Source organism: Homo sapiens, chromosome 12 (genome assembly GCF_000001405.40).
Source record: "Homo sapiens chromosome 12, GRCh38.p14 Primary Assembly".
Lineage (NCBI taxonomy): Eukaryota > Metazoa > Chordata > Mammalia > Primates > Hominidae > Homo > Homo sapiens.
The window spans coordinates 1,196,646-1,215,535 of record NC_000012.12 but is presented as its reverse complement, the minus strand read 5'-3'; the positions used below and the strand labels follow the sequence as shown (position 1 = coordinate 1,215,535).

Sequence of the window (18,890 nt, the reverse complement as noted above, 5' to 3'; positions counted from 1 at the left end):
ATAAATTGTAATACTGTAAAAAATGCAAATATTAGATCTAGAGTTCCCAAATTGAATGCAATTCAAACCAAAAGACATAGTGCAAAGTACCAGTATTAATTGAATATGCTGTTAAATTGCTGCTCACAGTGCACTCATGGTACTTATTACTATTGTCCAAGTTGTTTTGTTTTGAGCTGTAAGATGATCCAACTGTCTCAGAAATTTTGTCAAATTACTTTTTAAAAAAAGTTTGCTGCTTATAGTACATTATGACATCATTTGAACTCTGCTTGGATAAAAAGCAACAGTATGGATTAGGCCCACCACTGTTCTTTTCTCATTGGCCCATGACAATTATAACAGTAATACCTGAAGACAATGAGATGATATCCATAAATATAAATGAAACTACATAGGGTATTTCATTGTAAGACAGTCACCCAGGTGATCCAGAATATGTATATAAACTTTTTTATTGTCATTGAAATGAAAATACAAAATCATAAAATTAACATGGTAACTTGTAAATCTCAGAATATGTTCAAGGTCTCCCAAGGGATGTGAGGAGACTCCTAACAGGAATACAAATGGTAGAGTGGTTAAAAGCAAAAGTTTTAAGGGCTAAAGAGCTCTAGGTTAAATGCTGGTTCACTATTCATTATCTATATGATCTTTAGCCTCTCTAAGCTTCAGAGTGTTCTTATCTTTTTTATTTATGACATGGGAATAATGCCCATCTCTTATAGAACTGTGAGAAGTAAATAAAATAATGCATGGAAAATGCTTAGCGTAAGATTTGGCACACTGCAAGAGGTTACTAACATATCCTTTTTCTCCTCACCCCAAACATATGTGTGTGTGTGTGTGTGTGTGTGTGTGTGTGTGTGTATGTATACACACACGCATATTTATGTTTTATATGTTAATATATAAATTTAAATATCTAAATTTGCCCTTTCATTAAGATCCAAACAAACATGGAATATGCTTCTTCTTCACTCTTTGAGGGGAGGCCGGGAGGCGGGGAGTGGAGGGAAGGAGGATACTATTGAAGTTATGTGTTATATGTTTATATCTAACTCTAGCGCTATGCTAAATATAATACCATAATAACCCTTACAAGTACTTATTATATACCAAGGACCTTAATGTTTATCACAGCATATTTATCATCTTATTCAAAATGTTTTATGAGGTTTTATTAACTCCACACTAAAAATGAAAAGAGCAAACCTTCAATAAAATTAAATCATTACCCAAAATCAGTTTTAAACATCCTAGAACTAGTACTCAAACTCAGGTCTGTCTGACTGTAACTACGATACTTTTAACCTCTCTACTATAGAAATTATAAGCAAATACTGTTTACCTGGGAGATCTCTGATACCAAATATGAAATGAAGATGGTGTACATAGTACATAAATCAGAAGGCAGAAACCCACTGCTCTACAGAGTTGTTACCTTACCAGGATTCTATTACCATGGTTAACAGCATGTATTCCTCTGTTCTTAGGAAATTTCATCTTTCAGTGTCTTTTTTCTTTCCAAAAGTGCAGCATATCCAATGATGTAAGTACCCTGGCATTCTCATATGGATTCATTTCCTTTTTTAAAAACTCAACTTTTCCTTATTTTTTTTCTTTTTTTTTGGAGACAGAGTCTCATTCTGTCACCAAGGCTGAGTGCAGTGGCGTGATCTCGGCTCACTGCAACCTCCGCCTCCTGGGTTCAAGTGACTCTTGTGCCTCTGCCTCCCGAGTAGCTGGGATTATAGGCATGCACCACCATGCGTGGCAATTTTTTTTTTTTTTTTTTGAGATGGAGTCTTGCTATGTCGCCTAGGGTGGAGTGCAGTGGCAGTGATCTCGGCTCACTGCAACCTCTGCCTCCTGGGTTCATGAGATTCTCCTGCCTCAGCCTCCCAAGTAGCTAAGACCACAGGTGCCCACCACCACAACCAGGCAGTTTCTGTATTTTTAGTAGAGATGGGGTTTCACCATGTTGGCCCTGCTAGTCTCAAACTCCTAAGCTTGAGTGATCCGCCCACCTCGACCTCCCAAAGTGCTGGCATTACAGGCATGAGCCACCGCACCCGGTCTTAAAACTCAACTCCTCTGAAAGCAAGTTTCGACTCTACAACAGTATTTCTACGCACTCTTCCTTTTCAAAGCTACCACTTTCTTCCCACTTGAAATGATGAGTATGACCAGATGAGTTTAGTTCTTCCACAGAATCTGTCTCTTCACTCACATTAGATGGTGAATGTGAAAGTGCACTTTAAGCTACTAGGTACTAAATAAATGTAAGACACTATGGGGTTTTTCCCTCTTTATGTGAATAGTCAAAATGGAAGCCAAAAGATTTAGGCAGAAAGAGTCAGGAAATAATTTTACATCTAGAAAAAAAATACCGGTAGGTCAGAAAACTAGACTAAATGCTAGGTTACAGGTAAAGGTGAAGAAGACTAACCTCACAAAGGGCAGAATCGGGATTACTAGACAACTAAAAAATAAGCTTTAGGCATTGCCCAGGAGAAAATAGGCTCTGGGATGTAAGAGGATCACATTTATCTAAGCTTTGACAGCCTGCTAAGTTTTTTACATATTCACTACTCATTAAATAGACAAATATTTCATTAAATACTACCATTATATATCAAACACTGAGGATACAATTTTGAGAAAGCCAGGTAGGAAGGGGTCCCCAGAGAAACTCCAGCCAGCGGTGCCCTGGGAGGAGAGCACACTGGGATGGAGCTACAGAAATCTGCACCTTGTGCAGCAGGGAGGAGCCTGGCCCCTCCTTTTCACGGGTGTAACCTGGGAGTCAATCTGCAAGGCGGGAAGCACTCTAGCAAGGAATCTGGCCTGCAGAGAGGCCCTGTTTCCCCCTTTTCCTTTTCACCCAATAAAACCCTGTCCTACTCAACGTTCGAATCGTACACAAGCCTAAATTTTCGTGGCTGTGTGACAAGGACCCCGTCTTTAGCTGAACTAAGAAAAATTCCTGCAACAATTTCATGAATAAAAATTGTTCGTGCTCTCAAATACTTCCCAGGCATCTAAGGAAATACAGTATATAACAAGTGCTATTAGAGTGGACAGGAAAGAGCCCTAAGCTAGTCTGGAGGTGGAGGTGGTGGTGATGATCAGGAAAGGCTTCCTGGAAAAACAGTATCTGAACTTTCCTAAGGGATTAAGTCCAAGTTACTAGGCAGGTGATCCAGTACTAGGCAGAGAAGAACTACGAACAAAAACCTGAGGAAAAGGAGAATGTGTTATCTTGGGGAAAACCTCATGGTTCAGAATGACTATAGCTTAAAGTTGGAGGAGAGAGTAGAGAAAAAGAAAGCTAAAGGTAAGCAAAGCCAAACAATTATATGCTAAGCAAGGAATGCGTAGCTTACCCAAAGTATATAGGACTTATATAAGGAAGTGATATAATCAGATTTCCCAAAATTTGGAACAAGCTGAAAGGGAAACATAATGAGAGTGGACAGGAGGAAGCATTAGATAGCTTTTGCAGTAATGTAGGAAAGAATCAACTTACTCTACTGTTGCATCAATAAACTAATAATGACAATAAGCAAGCTACTATGGTTTATATTTAATTGACCTCCTTAAATAAGGTAAAGAGCCTGTGGTGAATTTTCCTCTCACAACACATTGTATAGAACTGATTATGGCCGGACACAGAGGCTCACACCTGTAATCCCAGCACTTTGGGAGGCCAAGGATGGTGGATCACCTCAGATCAGGAGTTTAAGACCAGCCTGGCCAACATGACGAAACCATGTCTCTACTGAAAATACAAAAAAAAAAAAAAATTAGCTGGGCGTGGTGGTGAGTGCCTGTAATCCCAGCTACTAGAGAGGCTGAGGCAAAAGAATCACTTGAACCCTGGAGGCAGAGGTTGCAGTGAGCCAAGATTGCGCCATTGCACTCCAGCCTGGGTGACAAAAGCGAAACTCCATCTCAGAAAAAAGACAAAAAGTTCTGATTATATCCAAGTTATATCATTATGATCACTTCCCCAAGCCAATTGTTCCTTCTAGTTTTCTTGGAAAGTCATCTGCAAAGTACTTTCCTTTTAACATCTCAACTTAGGCCGGGCACGGTGGCTCACGCCTGTAATCCCAGCACTTTGGGAGGCCGAGGCGGGTGGATCACCTGAGATGGGAATTCGAGACCAGCCTGACCAACAATGGAGAAACCCTGTCTCTCCTAAAAATACAAAATTAGCCGGGCATGGGGGTGCACGCCTGTAATCCTAGCTACTCCAGAGGCTGAGGCAGGAGAATCGCTTGAAAACAGGAGGCGGAGGTTGCGGTAAGCCGAGATTGTGCCATTGCACTCCAGTCTGGGCAATAAGAGCGAAACTCTGTCTCAAAATATATATATATATATCAATTTAAAAGATTGCATTTGAAGGGGATTATTTTTCACTAACAGTTTCAAAATAGTTGTGTAACATACTTAAGTGATTTTTGAATATAGAAACTTACAATAACAAACATTGAAATTTGTAATACCTAGGCCAAACAGCTAGCTACATTTTTTTTTTTTTTTGAGACACAGTCTCACTCTGTTGCTAGGCATGGCACAATCTCAGCTCACTGCAACCTCTACCTCCCGGGTTCAAGAGACTCTCCTGCCTCAGCCTCCTGAGTAGCTGGGACTACAGGCGCATGCCACCACACCCAACTAATTTTTGTATTTTTTAGTAGAGACGGGGTTTCACCATGTTGGCCAGGCTGGTCTTTACCTCTTGACCTCGTGATCCATCTGCCTCGGCCTCCCAAAATGCTGGGATTACAGGCGTGAGCCACCATGCCCAGCCCTAGCTAAAGAATCTTAAAACTGTCTTTTGTAGCCATTGACAGCAACTATCCCAAACACACCAGAAAATAATAATAACAATCCCATATTAATGAAGGAAAGCGAAGTAAAGAAAAATTAAACACACATTTCCCTCCTGCCTATGACAGGAGTCAAGTTTCTGAATCCCATTACACTACACCTTAAAGATGAGATCTGCTTGCAAAAAGAACTAGTTTTGAGATCTTTGCTATCATGCTCAAACATTTGACAACCCAGACAAGAGCTGGAAGATTAAAACAAAAGAATACAACTTCACCAACAAAGAAAATGCCAACAGTGGATAAACACTGCAGCTTAAAAAGACCGTCTTAAAGACAGAGCAATCCTGACGTACACACAATTAAACCACATCACTTACAGGTCTGCCAGCTGCCAGTGAAGGCCACTGATTTCCTTGTCTGTTTCTCCCAAAGCACAATCTCAAATTCTGAGACCTCAAAGCCACATACATGGACAACAGAAACTAGAGGTTGGAAGGAAGGTTTCTGTGAAAGCATAAGCCATACCCAAGAAGCCAACTCAATAGTTCTGAAGTTTGTGACTCTTTTCTCCAGTTGCCTCACCCTAAATTTCTTGTCACTTTGTTCCACTGTTCAATATGCTTTTATACATTTAAAGCAACAAGGCAACAGGTGCCAGTGAAAACAGTGCTTTTGCTCTAACATCCTGAAATCTTAACCTGACTCTTGTACCCATGCCAATAGAAAACCTCAGACGTCCTTTAACAAAGGCAAAACGGTCACCTTGATATCCTAAACCCAAGGAAAGGTCGATTTTTATAACAAGTTCAAATATGAGCTAGTATAAATAAATCAACAGAGATATTGTTAAATGTTTGTGAATTTTTTAAAAAAGGAGAAAAATCTATTTGAAAAACGTTAACTCACTAAAATCTTGTGAGTCAAAGCACGCTCAACAGACCAACAGTATCAGTACCAACTGGGAGCTTTTCGAAAGGTAGAAAAATTCAGGCCCCAACCAAATCCATCAAATAAGAACTCTATTTTAACAAGCTCCCATCCAATTTGTATGACACTTAAGTTTGAGAAGCACTGTTCTAAAGGATCTTATAAAATAATCAAATTACCCAATATCTGAAATACAAGTTGCGTTATAGAGCATTTCTTGAGCAAGGCAGAAAATGTTGATAAATAGGACAACACAAATGAATGAACTAGTCCATACTATAGGAACATCTCATACAACAGGCTACAAATGGTGACAGACTAGCCAATCTCACCTAAGAATTAGAGCAAAAAAAAAAAAAAATGCTATGAAGAAATCCCAAACATTGCTACATGAAACCATAAGTTTGTTTAACTATGTGAATTCCAAATGTATTGATAATCATAGGGAACAATACATACCAATAGCCCCCTTGCAAATAAAGCCATCATGAGACTGCTTTAAAAACAGTTTATCACGCCTGTAATCCCAGCACTTTGGGAGGCCGAGGCGGGTGGATCATCTGAGGTCAGGAGTTCAAGACCAGCCTGAGCAACGTGGCGAAACCCTGTCTCTACTAAAAATACAAAAATTAGCTGGGCATGGTGGCACACCCCTGTAATCCCAGCTACTCAGAAGGCTGAGACAGGGGAATTGCCTGAACCTGGGAGGTAGAGGTTGCAGTGAGCTGAGATCACATCACTGCACTCCAGCCTGGGAGACAGGGCAAGACTCCACCTCAAAAAAAAAAAAAAAAAAAAAAAAAAAAATCAGCTGGGCGTGGTGGCAAGTGCCTGTAATCCCAGCTACTCGGGAGGCTAAGGCAGGAGAATCACTTGAACCCGAGAGGCGGAGGTTGCTTGAAAGCAGTGAGCTGAGATTGCGCCACTGCACTCCAGCCTGGGTAACAAGAGAAAGACTCATCTCAAAACAAAACAAAAAAACAATTTAATTGCTGATTGCAATATCATTATTTTATTCAGAATTAATCAATTTCCCATACAAGACAGGCTTAGTATAATCAAAAGAAGACACAACTGGAACACGCCAACAGCTGCCAAATAAGAGATAGAGCTGCATGCAGTTTCCACTCCAAGACCACACATTCTGCTTCTCTGGACACTGTGCAAACCAAATAATACAAGTAATCCAACCCTTCACCCCCATGCTCCAAGGATCTAAAAAGCATAAATTTAAAAAGGTATTACAACCTGCATGTCATCTCTAGATGTCACAAACACATAACAGAACAAGATATAGAGCAGGGGTGTCTAATCTTTTTACTTCCCTGGGCCACACTGGAAGAGTAAGAATTATCGGCCTACACATAAAATACACTAACACTAATAATAGTTGATGAGCTTAAAAACATGAAAAAAAGCTGATAATGTTTTAAGTAAGTTTACAAATTTGTGTTGGGCCATATTCAAAGCTGACCTGAGCTGCATGCAGGCCATGGGCTGTGGGCCATGGGTTGGACAAGCTTGATACAGAGGAAAGGAAAGTGTGAAGTAAACTTGAAATGAGACAAACTAGATTTGTACCCTAGATTCTGCCACTTAGTAGCTATGACCCGAAGTAAATCATCTCATCTCTGTAAAGTCAATTTTCTGATCTGTGAAACGGGAAAATGTCATCCAATTCATATAGTTGTTATGAGGTGAAGTGAGATAAAGAAGGTGATAGCATTTTTAACAGTGTCAAACTGTAATCAGAAATCAGACGTGTTTCTGTCGTTTTACTGAGATGGGGGGGTGGGTGCCAGAGTAAGTATGGCCCAATAGTTATTATAAGACATACTAAAAGATGATTTGTGGTTTATATGAAATTTAACTGGGCATCCATATTTTTATTTGCTAAATCTGGCAACTCTATAAAAACTCAAATTTTGGCCAACTTTAAAATTATTCTTTCTTCCCTTCTCTGTTGAATTTGCCATCTTCAGCTGATTTACAGAATTTGTGGTGATCTACAACCGTGGTGATCTACAATTGCTATCTAAAAAAACATTTACCATTTATCAATGCATGATAGCATAAAACTATCATTTTCAGTAGAAGAGTTAGGAAGATCAGCACAAGTCTGCATTCACGTATTTTTTTTCCCACCAATGAGTTATTCAAAAGAGTACACTACTACACCAGCAGATGTTATTTAACAGAGAAGATGTTACACTTGCTTGTGCAGACTATTACAAAAACACTAGGCACTATTATTTGAAAGAAAAATAATAAGAAATACGCTCTTGAACAATAGAGTTGCTTAAAAAAGCGAAAGGAATGAAAAGTGGAAGCTAAAAATGCAAATAATAACGATCATTCTCCTGGGTTATAAACTCTTGCCCATAAGTCAAACTCCTTGTAAATAGATTTTATGGGGTCAGAAATTTTCTAGGGCCTATAAAAAAAAGCTTTAGCTAAAAAAATAAGAAACTAACCCTTTCAAAAATACAATTACATCTATTTTTGTGAGTGATATATCTTATGATGAGGTTTTAGCAACTAGTATAGTGCCTTTTCTTAATGAAATCAGACAATAATGTAAAAAATCTTTTTAAAGTGTGTAATCAGAGAAATAACTATTTGAATTAGATTTTAGAAATTAATGTGAAATGTTTCCATCAAACTATATAAAAGAGACTATAACAATGGGATTTTTTGGGGGGCAAAGTATAAAAGTATTTTAACTTTTAACAACATAGGGACTCTGGTCTTAACCCTTTTATGCCTAGTGTTCTATTACTGGAATGCTAAGCTTGTGGTAGTTATTTATATCCTACTGCTCAAGGTCATCACGAAGCTCTGATTCTTCACACACAAAAAATGTGCAACCTCTGGTATAAATGGGTTAATGAAGTTGTTAGGAACTATCACACATATTCTAAACATTTGTTTTAAAAACAAGTCTACAGTGGTAACTGATAATTAAAACATAGATATTAATAATATTGAGCTCAATTTTAGACCTAAGTGTTAATGAGAATAGAGATGACATTTATAGCTCTCATCTCTGAATGACCGTTAGCCAAAAGAAGAATTCTGAACCAAATCATATATTTTCATCTATACATGGAATAATTTCTTTGTATTCACTCTCTGGTGCTAATGTCATTGAACAGGAAATAAAAAGATGTGTATGTCTGAAGATAGAAAATGTGAGTCTTCAGTCAGTATCACTCTAAATAAAATCTCACTACTCTGTACTGAATGCAAAGGAAGACAGAGGAGAGCAGGGCAGGGGAAGAAGACAAGGGAGAAGAGAGGAATAAAAATAAACCTCTGCAAAATAGAAATGTTTAGTGGAGACACTAAAATACAAATACTACAGCTAAGCATCACTATTAACACAAAACAAGTGGTTAAAATAAACATGGAAAGGTTAAGTATCTTGCCCAAGGTCATATAATGAAGTCACCCAAACAATCCAGTATCAAAGCAGTAATAAATTATACTCTCTTTATGACCTATTCAACTGGACTTGGCAAAACCACAATTAAAATGGTAAAATGTTTCTATCTAGAAAAAAAATACTGCACTAAATCATAATCTGGAATGAAGAGAGACTTTAAACTTTTGCATACTACAGCTAAGATGATCTTTGCCACTGAAAAAACAATGACTATTTTATTTTGTATTCCTTGGAAAATAAACTTATTTAGAAATAAGTATGATTTAATGGCATTTGCTGCTGGGTAAAAGTTAACTAAAATAAACCAGCTAACAATATTACAATTAATATAACCTGTAACTCAGTGAATTATGTATATACCAATGGCTTCACGGTCAAATTCTTCTGAAGCTTTTCCCAGGGTTTCATTTAGAGAGACTGAGAGCAAAACCAGTCGTGCAAAGGACTAACTATGGGACAAATGATAAAACTTCCCACTAAAATGAGTCAGCTTGAAGCTTAAGTTAGAGATGAAAGTTCTCTAAACACAAGGCAAAACACTTCATGAAATTTTTATACTAAAACTCAACTGCTTTCAGATTTTGCCACCTAATTGGAATTACTTAAGTGGTACCCATACTGTTCTACTACAATATGTGGAGAAAATGTTTAGATTAGAAACGGGAAAATCTATTTTTTAAATGCAGTATTTGTGTTTGCTATTTTTATTACAAACACTTTAAGATTCCTTCTGTAATGAATACAGCTTACTCAAAATGGGCAGGGGGCATAAATTTTTTTCAATTTATTTTCTTTTTTGGCGGGCTAACTCTTTTAACACTTATCCCAGTGTAACCCATATGCTAGCTGTTGAGTCAAAGAGGTGCTTTTATAAACAGCAAATATATATCTATATATATATATATACACACACACACACACAGATATATATATATATATACACACACACACATATATATAATCGCTATTATTATTAGGCAGCTGCTAGGTAAAACACATATGATATTAACAGGCTCATTTCTGAATCCTATCAGAAATCCTCACACTTTATATTGTCATGGCTCATATGCAAAATAAGTAACTTTTTAAATGCAGATTTTTGTTTTGTGCCGCTTCTCTCACTATTTACTTACTAATGAAGATGGGCAAGTTACTTAATGGTCTCTGCACTTGTGCTTTTTCAACTAAAAAATCAAAATAATAAATCTCTCTTCATAGTTGCTAAGATCAACTGAAACAAAATATGTTCCGCTACAGTGCCTCTGGCACATATAAATAGCAGTAATCGTTGCTGTTTTTGTTATCACTAGTTCTACCACCCAGCAGAGTCACAAAATGAAACCAAAATTTAAAGGATGTGGGTGTGTGTGTGTCTGAAAGTTCGTCTCAGTAAATAATTCAAGGTTTCTTCTATAAAGCTATAGGCAGTTGTGACTTTCCCTCCATCATTTTTGCGGCACTTTACCCCGTTTAATAGCCAGAATGTCTCCACTGAATGTTCAATTACATTAACACAATTCTTTTTCCCCTCCTCTTTCCTCGTAATGCTCTTTTCATCTCCACTTCTCTCTCAGTCAAAACCTGGCCATCTGGTTCTTGCTCTCTGACTACTCACACTACCTTTTCAAAGCACAAAAATCTGAACACACTCTTCTGATAAACCCAATACCCTTGACATTTTATCCTCACAGCTAGATTTCTAGATATCCCTCTCCTGAAATATGTTCAGTTCCCTGTAAGAATTCAAGACAATATTCGCAAACAACGCTCAATCACATCATCTTTGTTTTAGTGCAAGCATACTGACCTTGAGGTGAGACTGAAGGAAACAGGAAATCCAGGAAGAAAATGTGAAAAAGAAAGTTAGAAAGAATTAATAAGGACAATATTCAGAAATATTATTCATGGACATCATAAAATGCAGGATTAGAGAAGGGAAGGAGTCACAAATTCTATACAGTCACTAAAAAAGAATTATTTCAGATTTTCAACTCTCAACAAATTTACTTTCTTATTAGATTACACCATTGTATTTTAATGAAAGTTTCTCAAAAAAAAAAAAGTTGTCTAAAATTTACCATTTCCTGGGGCAGGAAAAAAAAAACAATTTCTTAAACACTAAGAAAAATAGAGAAGGTTAGCCATCTCATTCTCATTTAAGTAGTCAGAGTTGGCTTTAAGTAACTGCACAATTTTAGTCTGCTTAGTTTTATAGACACCCACCTTATAACTAACTACGCCTTAACCACCCCATTCCATTAAGAGAATCCAAGTTATCTAAAAGCAAAAGCAGAAAAACACAGCTTCTGTAGAATACAGAACTTTAATGTACTTGAAATAATTTTCTCAAATGTTAAAACATAATTTTCTCCTAATAACAACTAGTACTTCTCACTCCAAATCTACCACAATCCTCAAATGGTGCAATCTAAAAGCAATAATGAACAAGAATACACAGGCTTGTTTACATCAATTCAGTTCCAATGCTGCTTAGCAGTAGGAGATATAAAGCAGTCATGCTTAATATTCCTGCACAGCATGTAGCCCTTACAGTTCATTACTGTCTTTTACAACAACAAGCAGTTTTTCTCTTTTCAAAAAGTAATCAGTTTCACTGTAATTAGTATGATCCTCCAAATAGTTAGGGCTTCTAACGACCAGTATCATCTGGATTAGCTTCATGGTCTAAATTGTACCTTAAGAATCTGAAACAAAATATCTATTTCTTGAATGCAAGCACCATTTCCATTTATACTTTAATGTTTTCTAAGACTTAGTGATGTCTTGCAAAAGTATAATTCAGTACTTACAAGTTTTAAAAAGTCATTGTGAGAATAAAAACAGATAAGAAGGACAAGATTTGTTACCTTGTAACATGAAGAGATGAAAAACAGAAACAAAACGACTTGCTGGCAATCACATGGTGCCTGAGTGGCAGATACAGAATAAGAATGTAGCAGCCGGGCAGGCGCAGTGGCTCACGCCTGTAATCCCAGCACTTTGGGAGGCCGAGGCAAGCAGATCACCTGAGGTCAGGAGTTTGAGACCAGCCTAGCCAACACGGTGAAACCCCATCTCTACTAAAAATACAAAAATTAGCCAGGCGTGGTGGCACACGCCTGTAGTCCCAGGTACTCAGGAGGCTGAGGCACAAGAATCGGTTGAACCAGGGAGGTGGAGGCTGCAGTGAGCCGAGATTGTGCCACTGCACTCCAGCCTGGGCAACAGAGCAAGACTCCGTCTCAAAAAGAGTAAGAATGTAGGTCTGCTGACATCTCACCTGGGCATAATTTATCTGTTTTATGATGCTTCCTTAGGAGTCTATAAAACTCCATGAACGTTTAGCATCTATAACGCTGTGTAAAATGCAGACAATGTTCAAAGGCAGAAAGAAGCCGATCTCTAAATGATTGTTCCCAATGATCCTTCTATCTCATTGGTTGTGACACAGGAAGTCAAAATAATTTTAGATGAACAAGGACATTAACTGAGTCTTCTTTGTATGCAAGTTTTTACATAACACACGGGTAAATCCATGGGAAAAAATGGAATGCATTCCTGCCAGAGAGCAACTTTAATTATTAATTTAATTTTTACCTACTTTATTATTCATGAATCATATTTCACTTTAGCATCAAATTACAACTCTTTTTTTTTCCTTTTTGAGACAGGGTTTCACCTGTCACCTAGGCTAGAGTGCAGTGGCGCAATCTTGGCTCACTGCAAACTCTACTTCCCAGACTCAAGTGATCCTCCCACCTCAGCCTCCCAAATAGCTGGGACTATAGACAAACACCACCACAACTGGCTAATATTTGTATTTTTTGTAGAGACGAGGTTTCGCCACTTGCCTAAGCTGGTCTCGAACTCCTGGACTCAAGCAATCCACCCACTTTCACCTCCCAAAGTGCTAGGATTACAAGCATGAGCCACCACGTCCGGCTAAACTGTAACTCTTGGGAAATAACTTCAGGAGAAAAAATCTGTACATCGAATTATATGTAATCCTAATCTTTATACTTTTAGGTGAAACACTACAGTAGCCATTAAACACAGATTCCTGTAAGACCACAGTAACAAACTATAAGGTGCTGTGCCCACAGGAAACTTTGGGAAGATAACCTAACAGAACTGACTACAAAAAGCTTTGTAACTTACTCTCCTTTTAAAGGAAGTCTATGATATTCATCAAGGAGGAAGAAGAAAGAAACAAGCAGCTTCCCCAGAAAGCAAGCTGAAGCAAGCAGGATCAGATAAAGAACCAGTCATCTTCAGTTGTAATATGCTGGTATCTTTCTTTTCCTTTTCAGTTTTTTCATTTTTTAAACACAGACCATTCTCCCTCAAGCAAGAACACATATTATATAATTACTCTGAGCCACCATCCGCAGCCCCAGTCATCTCTCTTCCACTCTAACCACATTAAGAGCATATTCTCTGACACTATACTTCATGGATTGAAGATGCATATCCATAAATTTAAAAGTAAGAATATTTTTCTCTAAAGAGACACTTTCCTCATGAATTATATAGCAGTTTATGTCAATCTTGCATACGGCTTAATTTCTATATGGTAGATCTTTGAAGACACAGTAAATGACTATCAATTCAAAATTTAAGGAAAAATATTTACCAGAATAAAGACTAAATACCTAGGTTTACATTTCCGGGTTACACTATGCAACAGATGCCTGAATATAATGGGATACTAACATAAAGTAATATCATAAAGCCCATTTTGCCAAGGAGATGGTCCAAAAGAAACCGTTTTTGGTCAACCTAAATAAACAAACTCAGCATATAGGTAAACCCGTCAAATATCTAATTTACAATTTATACTAGTAAATACATTCACTTGGTTACTACACGTACATTTAAAATGAAATATATGACAAAATAATATTAATTTAGAAATACTACTTTCTCCTACTCCCACATTCAACAAAACAATTTTATTCACTCTTTGAATGCATTCTTAACATCAATTCACCAAGGATAGAAGACACATCATAGTAAAAAGTATTTTATATTACTGAGAAAGAAAAAAAGTTATACCAATTAGATTATACCATGCCATTTACTTGTACGTGTATCCCAATTTCAGAGATGTTAAAATACAAAAACAAGGTCAGAAATGGCATTTCATTGTGACAAAAAGGAGAAAGGGAAAGTTATCTACACTTTTGTTTAATCTACAAATCTAAAAGTAATTCAACTGAATTATATTAAATTGTATAAGAATATAGGCAGATGAATGTACTTACATTTTTACAGAAGGAAAAACGTGCAAATATATATGTATGCATATATAAACATGTACATGTGTAAACATACTATGTACATATAAAAGAAATATAAAAATATTTTCAATATAATATCAAGGTATGGGAGACTACTGAATCTCTCTTTTTAACTCCTAAAGGGTCTGAATATTATGGGCAATGGTAAGAAAAGGAAATGTGGGCCGGGTGCAGTGGCTCACGCCTGAAATCCCAGCACTTTGGGAGGCCGAGGCGGGCGGATCACGAGGTCAGGAGATCGAGACCATCCTGGCTAACACGGTGAAACCCCATCTCTACTAAAAATACAAAAAACTAGCCGGCTGTGGTGGCGGGCGCCTGTAGTCCCAGCTACTCAGGAGGGTGAGGCAGGAGAATGGTGTGAACCCGGGAGGCGGAGCTTGCAGTGAGCCGAGATCGTGCCACTGCACTCCAGCCTGGGCGACAGAGAGAGACTCCGCCTCAGAAAAAAAAAAAGAAAAGGAAATGTGAGATGATTAGATAGCAGAATGAGAAAAGAGTGCTACTTCTCTTTTATAACATATATACATTGGTCTCTCTAATGTACAGTCACAGGACAGAATGTGATAGTTACTACTGGAAAAGCACAAGTAAAGGAAAGAGAGATTACTAGCGAAAGGAGGTCAGTAAAGTTTTCTTTTTCAAAAAAAGTAACATTTAAAATAGGTCAGATTCCCACAAACAAATAAAGGGAACAAAACTTTCAGTCAAAGAGAAAAGAATAAGAAAAGACAGATAAGAAAAAAAGCATTCATCTTCAAAATTTGACTGCTATCAAGCCAAAAATTGGTAATATCATCCTATAAACTAGTTCAAGTTTGCCAACACATTTTAGAAGATTTATGAAAAATAAAAACCTCCATTTTCATTGTATAAAAATTTTAGAAACTAGTTGTGAAATCTTTAAAAGAAAATTTAAAAACTCAAAAGGCAATAATCTTTAGGCATTAAGTTGAAGCCTGGCAGCTATTTTCCCAAATGCCATCAGAAAAGTTCTCTTTCTCTTACACATACACATGTGCAAATAACACTCCCAGATTAAAAATCACTACTGGCATGATAGGAAAATGACCTCATTCATTCTTTGTGTTCCAAAAAAAAAAAAAGTTATGTAATCTGTTCATAGGATTTGGGCTAATCTTGTTGATTTTTGTTTTTAATCAAGGGTGTTCTTAGTATGCTCAGAATTTAGCCCAAATCCTATGAACAGATCACATAACTTTTTTTTTTTTTCTTTTCTGAGATGGGAGTTTCACTCTTGTTGCCCAGGCTGAAGTGCAATGGCACAGTATCAGCTCACTGCAACCTCTGCCTCCCAGGTTCAAGCAATTCTTGTGCCTCAGCCTACCAAATAGCTGGGATTACAGGTGCCTGCCACCATGCCCGGCTAATTTTTTTTTTCCTATTTTTTAGTAGAGACAGGGTTTCACCATGTTGGTCAGGCTGGTCTCGAACTCCTGACCTCAGGTGATCCACCCGCCTCAGCCTCCCAAAGTGCTGGGATTACAGGCGTGAACCACCGTGCCTGGCCATAACATTTTTTTTTTAACAAAGTCAGTTGTTTATAAATCAAAATATAACTCCCTTAAAAACAATACTATAAATACACACTAGGTTGTCTTGGTAGTCCACAAAATTAAAGTTTAATCATGATGTAAAAGCCAAGAGCTAATAGTTCCAGATGAGTGACATGGTTTGGCTCTATGTCCCCACCCAAATCTCATGTTGAACTGTGATCCCCAGTGTTGGAGGTGGGGCCTGGTGGGAAGTGACTGGATCATGACGGTGGTTTGTCCCCACCCAACTCTCATGTTGAATTGTGATCCCCAGTGTTGGAGGTGGGGCCTGGTGGGAAGTGACTGGATCATGACGGTGGTTTGTCCCCACCCAAATCTCATGTTGAATTGTGATCCCCAGTGTTGGAGGTGGGGCCTGGTGGGAAGTGACTGGGTCATGACGGTGGTTTGTCCCCACCCAAATCTCATGTTGAACTGTGATCCCCAGTGTTGGAGGTAGGGCCTGGTGGGAAGTGACTGGGTCATGACGGTGGTTTGTCCCCACCCAAATCTCATGTTGAACTGTGATCCCCAGTGTTGGAGGTGGGGCCTGGTGGGAAGTGACTGGATCATGACGGTGGTTTGTCATGGTTTAGCACCATCCCCCTAGTGCTGTCTTGTGACAGAGTTCTCACAAGATCTGGTTGTTTGAAAGTGTGTGGCACCTCCCCCTTTGCTGGCTCTCTCTCTCCTGCCGGCCATGTAAATGTGCCTGCTTCCCCTTCACCTTCTGCTATGACTGTAAGTTTCCTGAGGCTACTCCAGAAGCAGAAGCCTGTACAGCCCGCAGAAACATGAGCCAATTAAAACTATTTTCTTTATAAATTACCCAGTCTCAAGTATGTCTTTATAGCAGCATGAGAACGAACTAATACAATGAGGTATGGAAAAGATGGTTAGCAAAGAAGATAAAATTAACCACCACAAAATAGAAAAACAAAGTTACCTCCATCATAACTACTCACAAGGCTAGCCCTAAGAATTTTATGTATATACGAACAACAAAACTGATCTCCAGTTCTATCTTTCTCAGAATAATTGTAGCAGTGCAATATTTTGGTTTTCCCTCTGTATTCTGTATCTCTCTACTAGAGTTGGAGGACCTGAAATTAGTATTAATAGTTTAGGATCCAAAATTACTTATTAGCCTTCCAACCAAATAACCTCCCAAGCTACTATCATTTAATATTGGCTTCGAACATGGAAAGACCAAAGACTTAAGAGTCCAAATTTCAGGGCTGGCTGCAGTGGCTCACCTCTGTAATCGTATCACTTTGGGATGCAGAGGCAGATGGATCACTTGAGCCCAGGAGTTCGAGACCAGCCTAGGCTATCTGGCAAAAACCCATCTCTACAAAAAAAATACAAAAATTAGTTGGGCATGGTGGCATGCACCTCTAGTCTCAGCTACCCAGGAGGTTGAGGTGGGCGGATCACCTGAGCCCAAGAGGTTAAGGCTGCAGTGAGCCGTGATAGTGCCACTGCACTCCACCCTGGATGAGAGAGACCCTGCCTCAAAAAAAAAAAGCAACAAAAACAAAACAAAACAAAACAAAAAAAATAGTCCAAAGTTCAACAAGTCCTTTCTTTCTGATACTACTACATTCTGGGCACATGATAACTGGGATGACCAGCCTCTGTGGTATGTTAAGTGATACCTTCCAGTAGAGCTCAACCAGACCTTAAGGAACTAAAATTTCATCACTGGAATTTCTAGCTATTAGACAAGCTATAGATAAACGCCAATGCTAGCATAATCTATAAATGAAATGACAATAGCTTCTGTATTGATGGAGTCTTAGTCTCTTTGAGCCAGACGTATCCCTTAACTGAGTCCAGACTGAGAGAAGCATTAAAAAGCACATGTGTAGAAAAACTGGCCCCTAGCAGCAAAACAACCCACATGCCAGTTATGCAGTACCTGTCCTGTAAGTGGGCATTCCAGCATGTGGGAAAGACTCTGGCCTCAGTAAGATCCTCAAGTGAACAGACTCTGAATCATCTAGCTGTCTACAGCCTCCTCTTCTAGGAGGTGAGGTCATTAATGAAAACTGAACACCTGAAAAGGATTTCTTTTCAGGAAGGAGAGACAGACACTGGAATTGTTAGGCATGACTCTGCTACCTACTTATGTAATGCAGGACCAGTTGTTTAACCTCAAACATCTGTATAACAAAAATCTAGGCCAGGCACAATGGTTCATCCCTGTAACCCCAGCACTTTGGGAGGCCAAGGCAGGCGGATCACTTGAGGCCAGGAGTTCGAGACCATCCTGGTTAAGATGGTGAAACCCCATCTCTACTGAAAATACAAAAATTAGCTGGGCATGGTGGTGTATGCCTGTATTCCCAGCTACTCGGAAGGCTGACGCACAAGAATCGCTTGAGCCCGGGAGGTGGAGGTTGCAGTGAGCTGAGATCATACCATTGCACTCCAGCCTGGGTGACAGAGGGAAAATCTGTCTTAAAAAAAAAAAAAAAAAAAAAATATATATATATATATGTGTGTGTGTGTGTGTGTGTGTGTGTGTGTGTGTGTGTGTGTGTGTGTGTGTGTGTAGAGAGACAGAGAGAGACAGACAGACAGAGAGAGAGAGAGAGAGAGTGAGAGAGAGACAGACAGAGAGACAGACAGAGAGAGAGAGAGAGAGAGAGAGAAATAGCGTGCGCACATGCACCAGGTGTGGTGGCTCATGCCTGTAATCCCAGCACTTTGGGAGGCCAAGGGGATCACTTGAGCCCAGGAGTTCAAGACCAGCCTAGACAGCATAGTGAGGCACCAGCCCTACAAAAAAATTAAGCAGTTAGCTGGGCATGGT

At 38.7% G+C, this 18,890-nt stretch overlaps 1 protein-coding gene across 54 annotated transcripts in view; it reads right to left on the bottom strand.

Moving 5' to 3' along the window:
• The window catches only part of ERC1 (ELKS/RAB6-interacting/CAST family member 1), a 505,975-nt gene that overhangs the window by 280,398 nt on the left and 206,687 nt on the right, over window positions 1-18,890 (bottom strand). For 25 of the 54 annotated variants that reach the window (NR_027948.3, NR_027946.3, NR_027949.3 and 22 more), the window contains one exon: window positions 11,024-11,035. The exons of the other annotated variants lie outside the window; for them this stretch is intronic. Coding sequence is in view for 21 of the 25 variants with exons in the window: in XM_017019055.3 (XP_016874544.1) it covers window positions 11,024-11,035 (12 nt within the window). In the remaining 4 variants the exon portion in view is untranslated. The remainder of the gene's footprint in view (window positions 1-11,023; window positions 11,036-18,890) is intronic. 54 annotated transcript variants of the gene reach the window in all.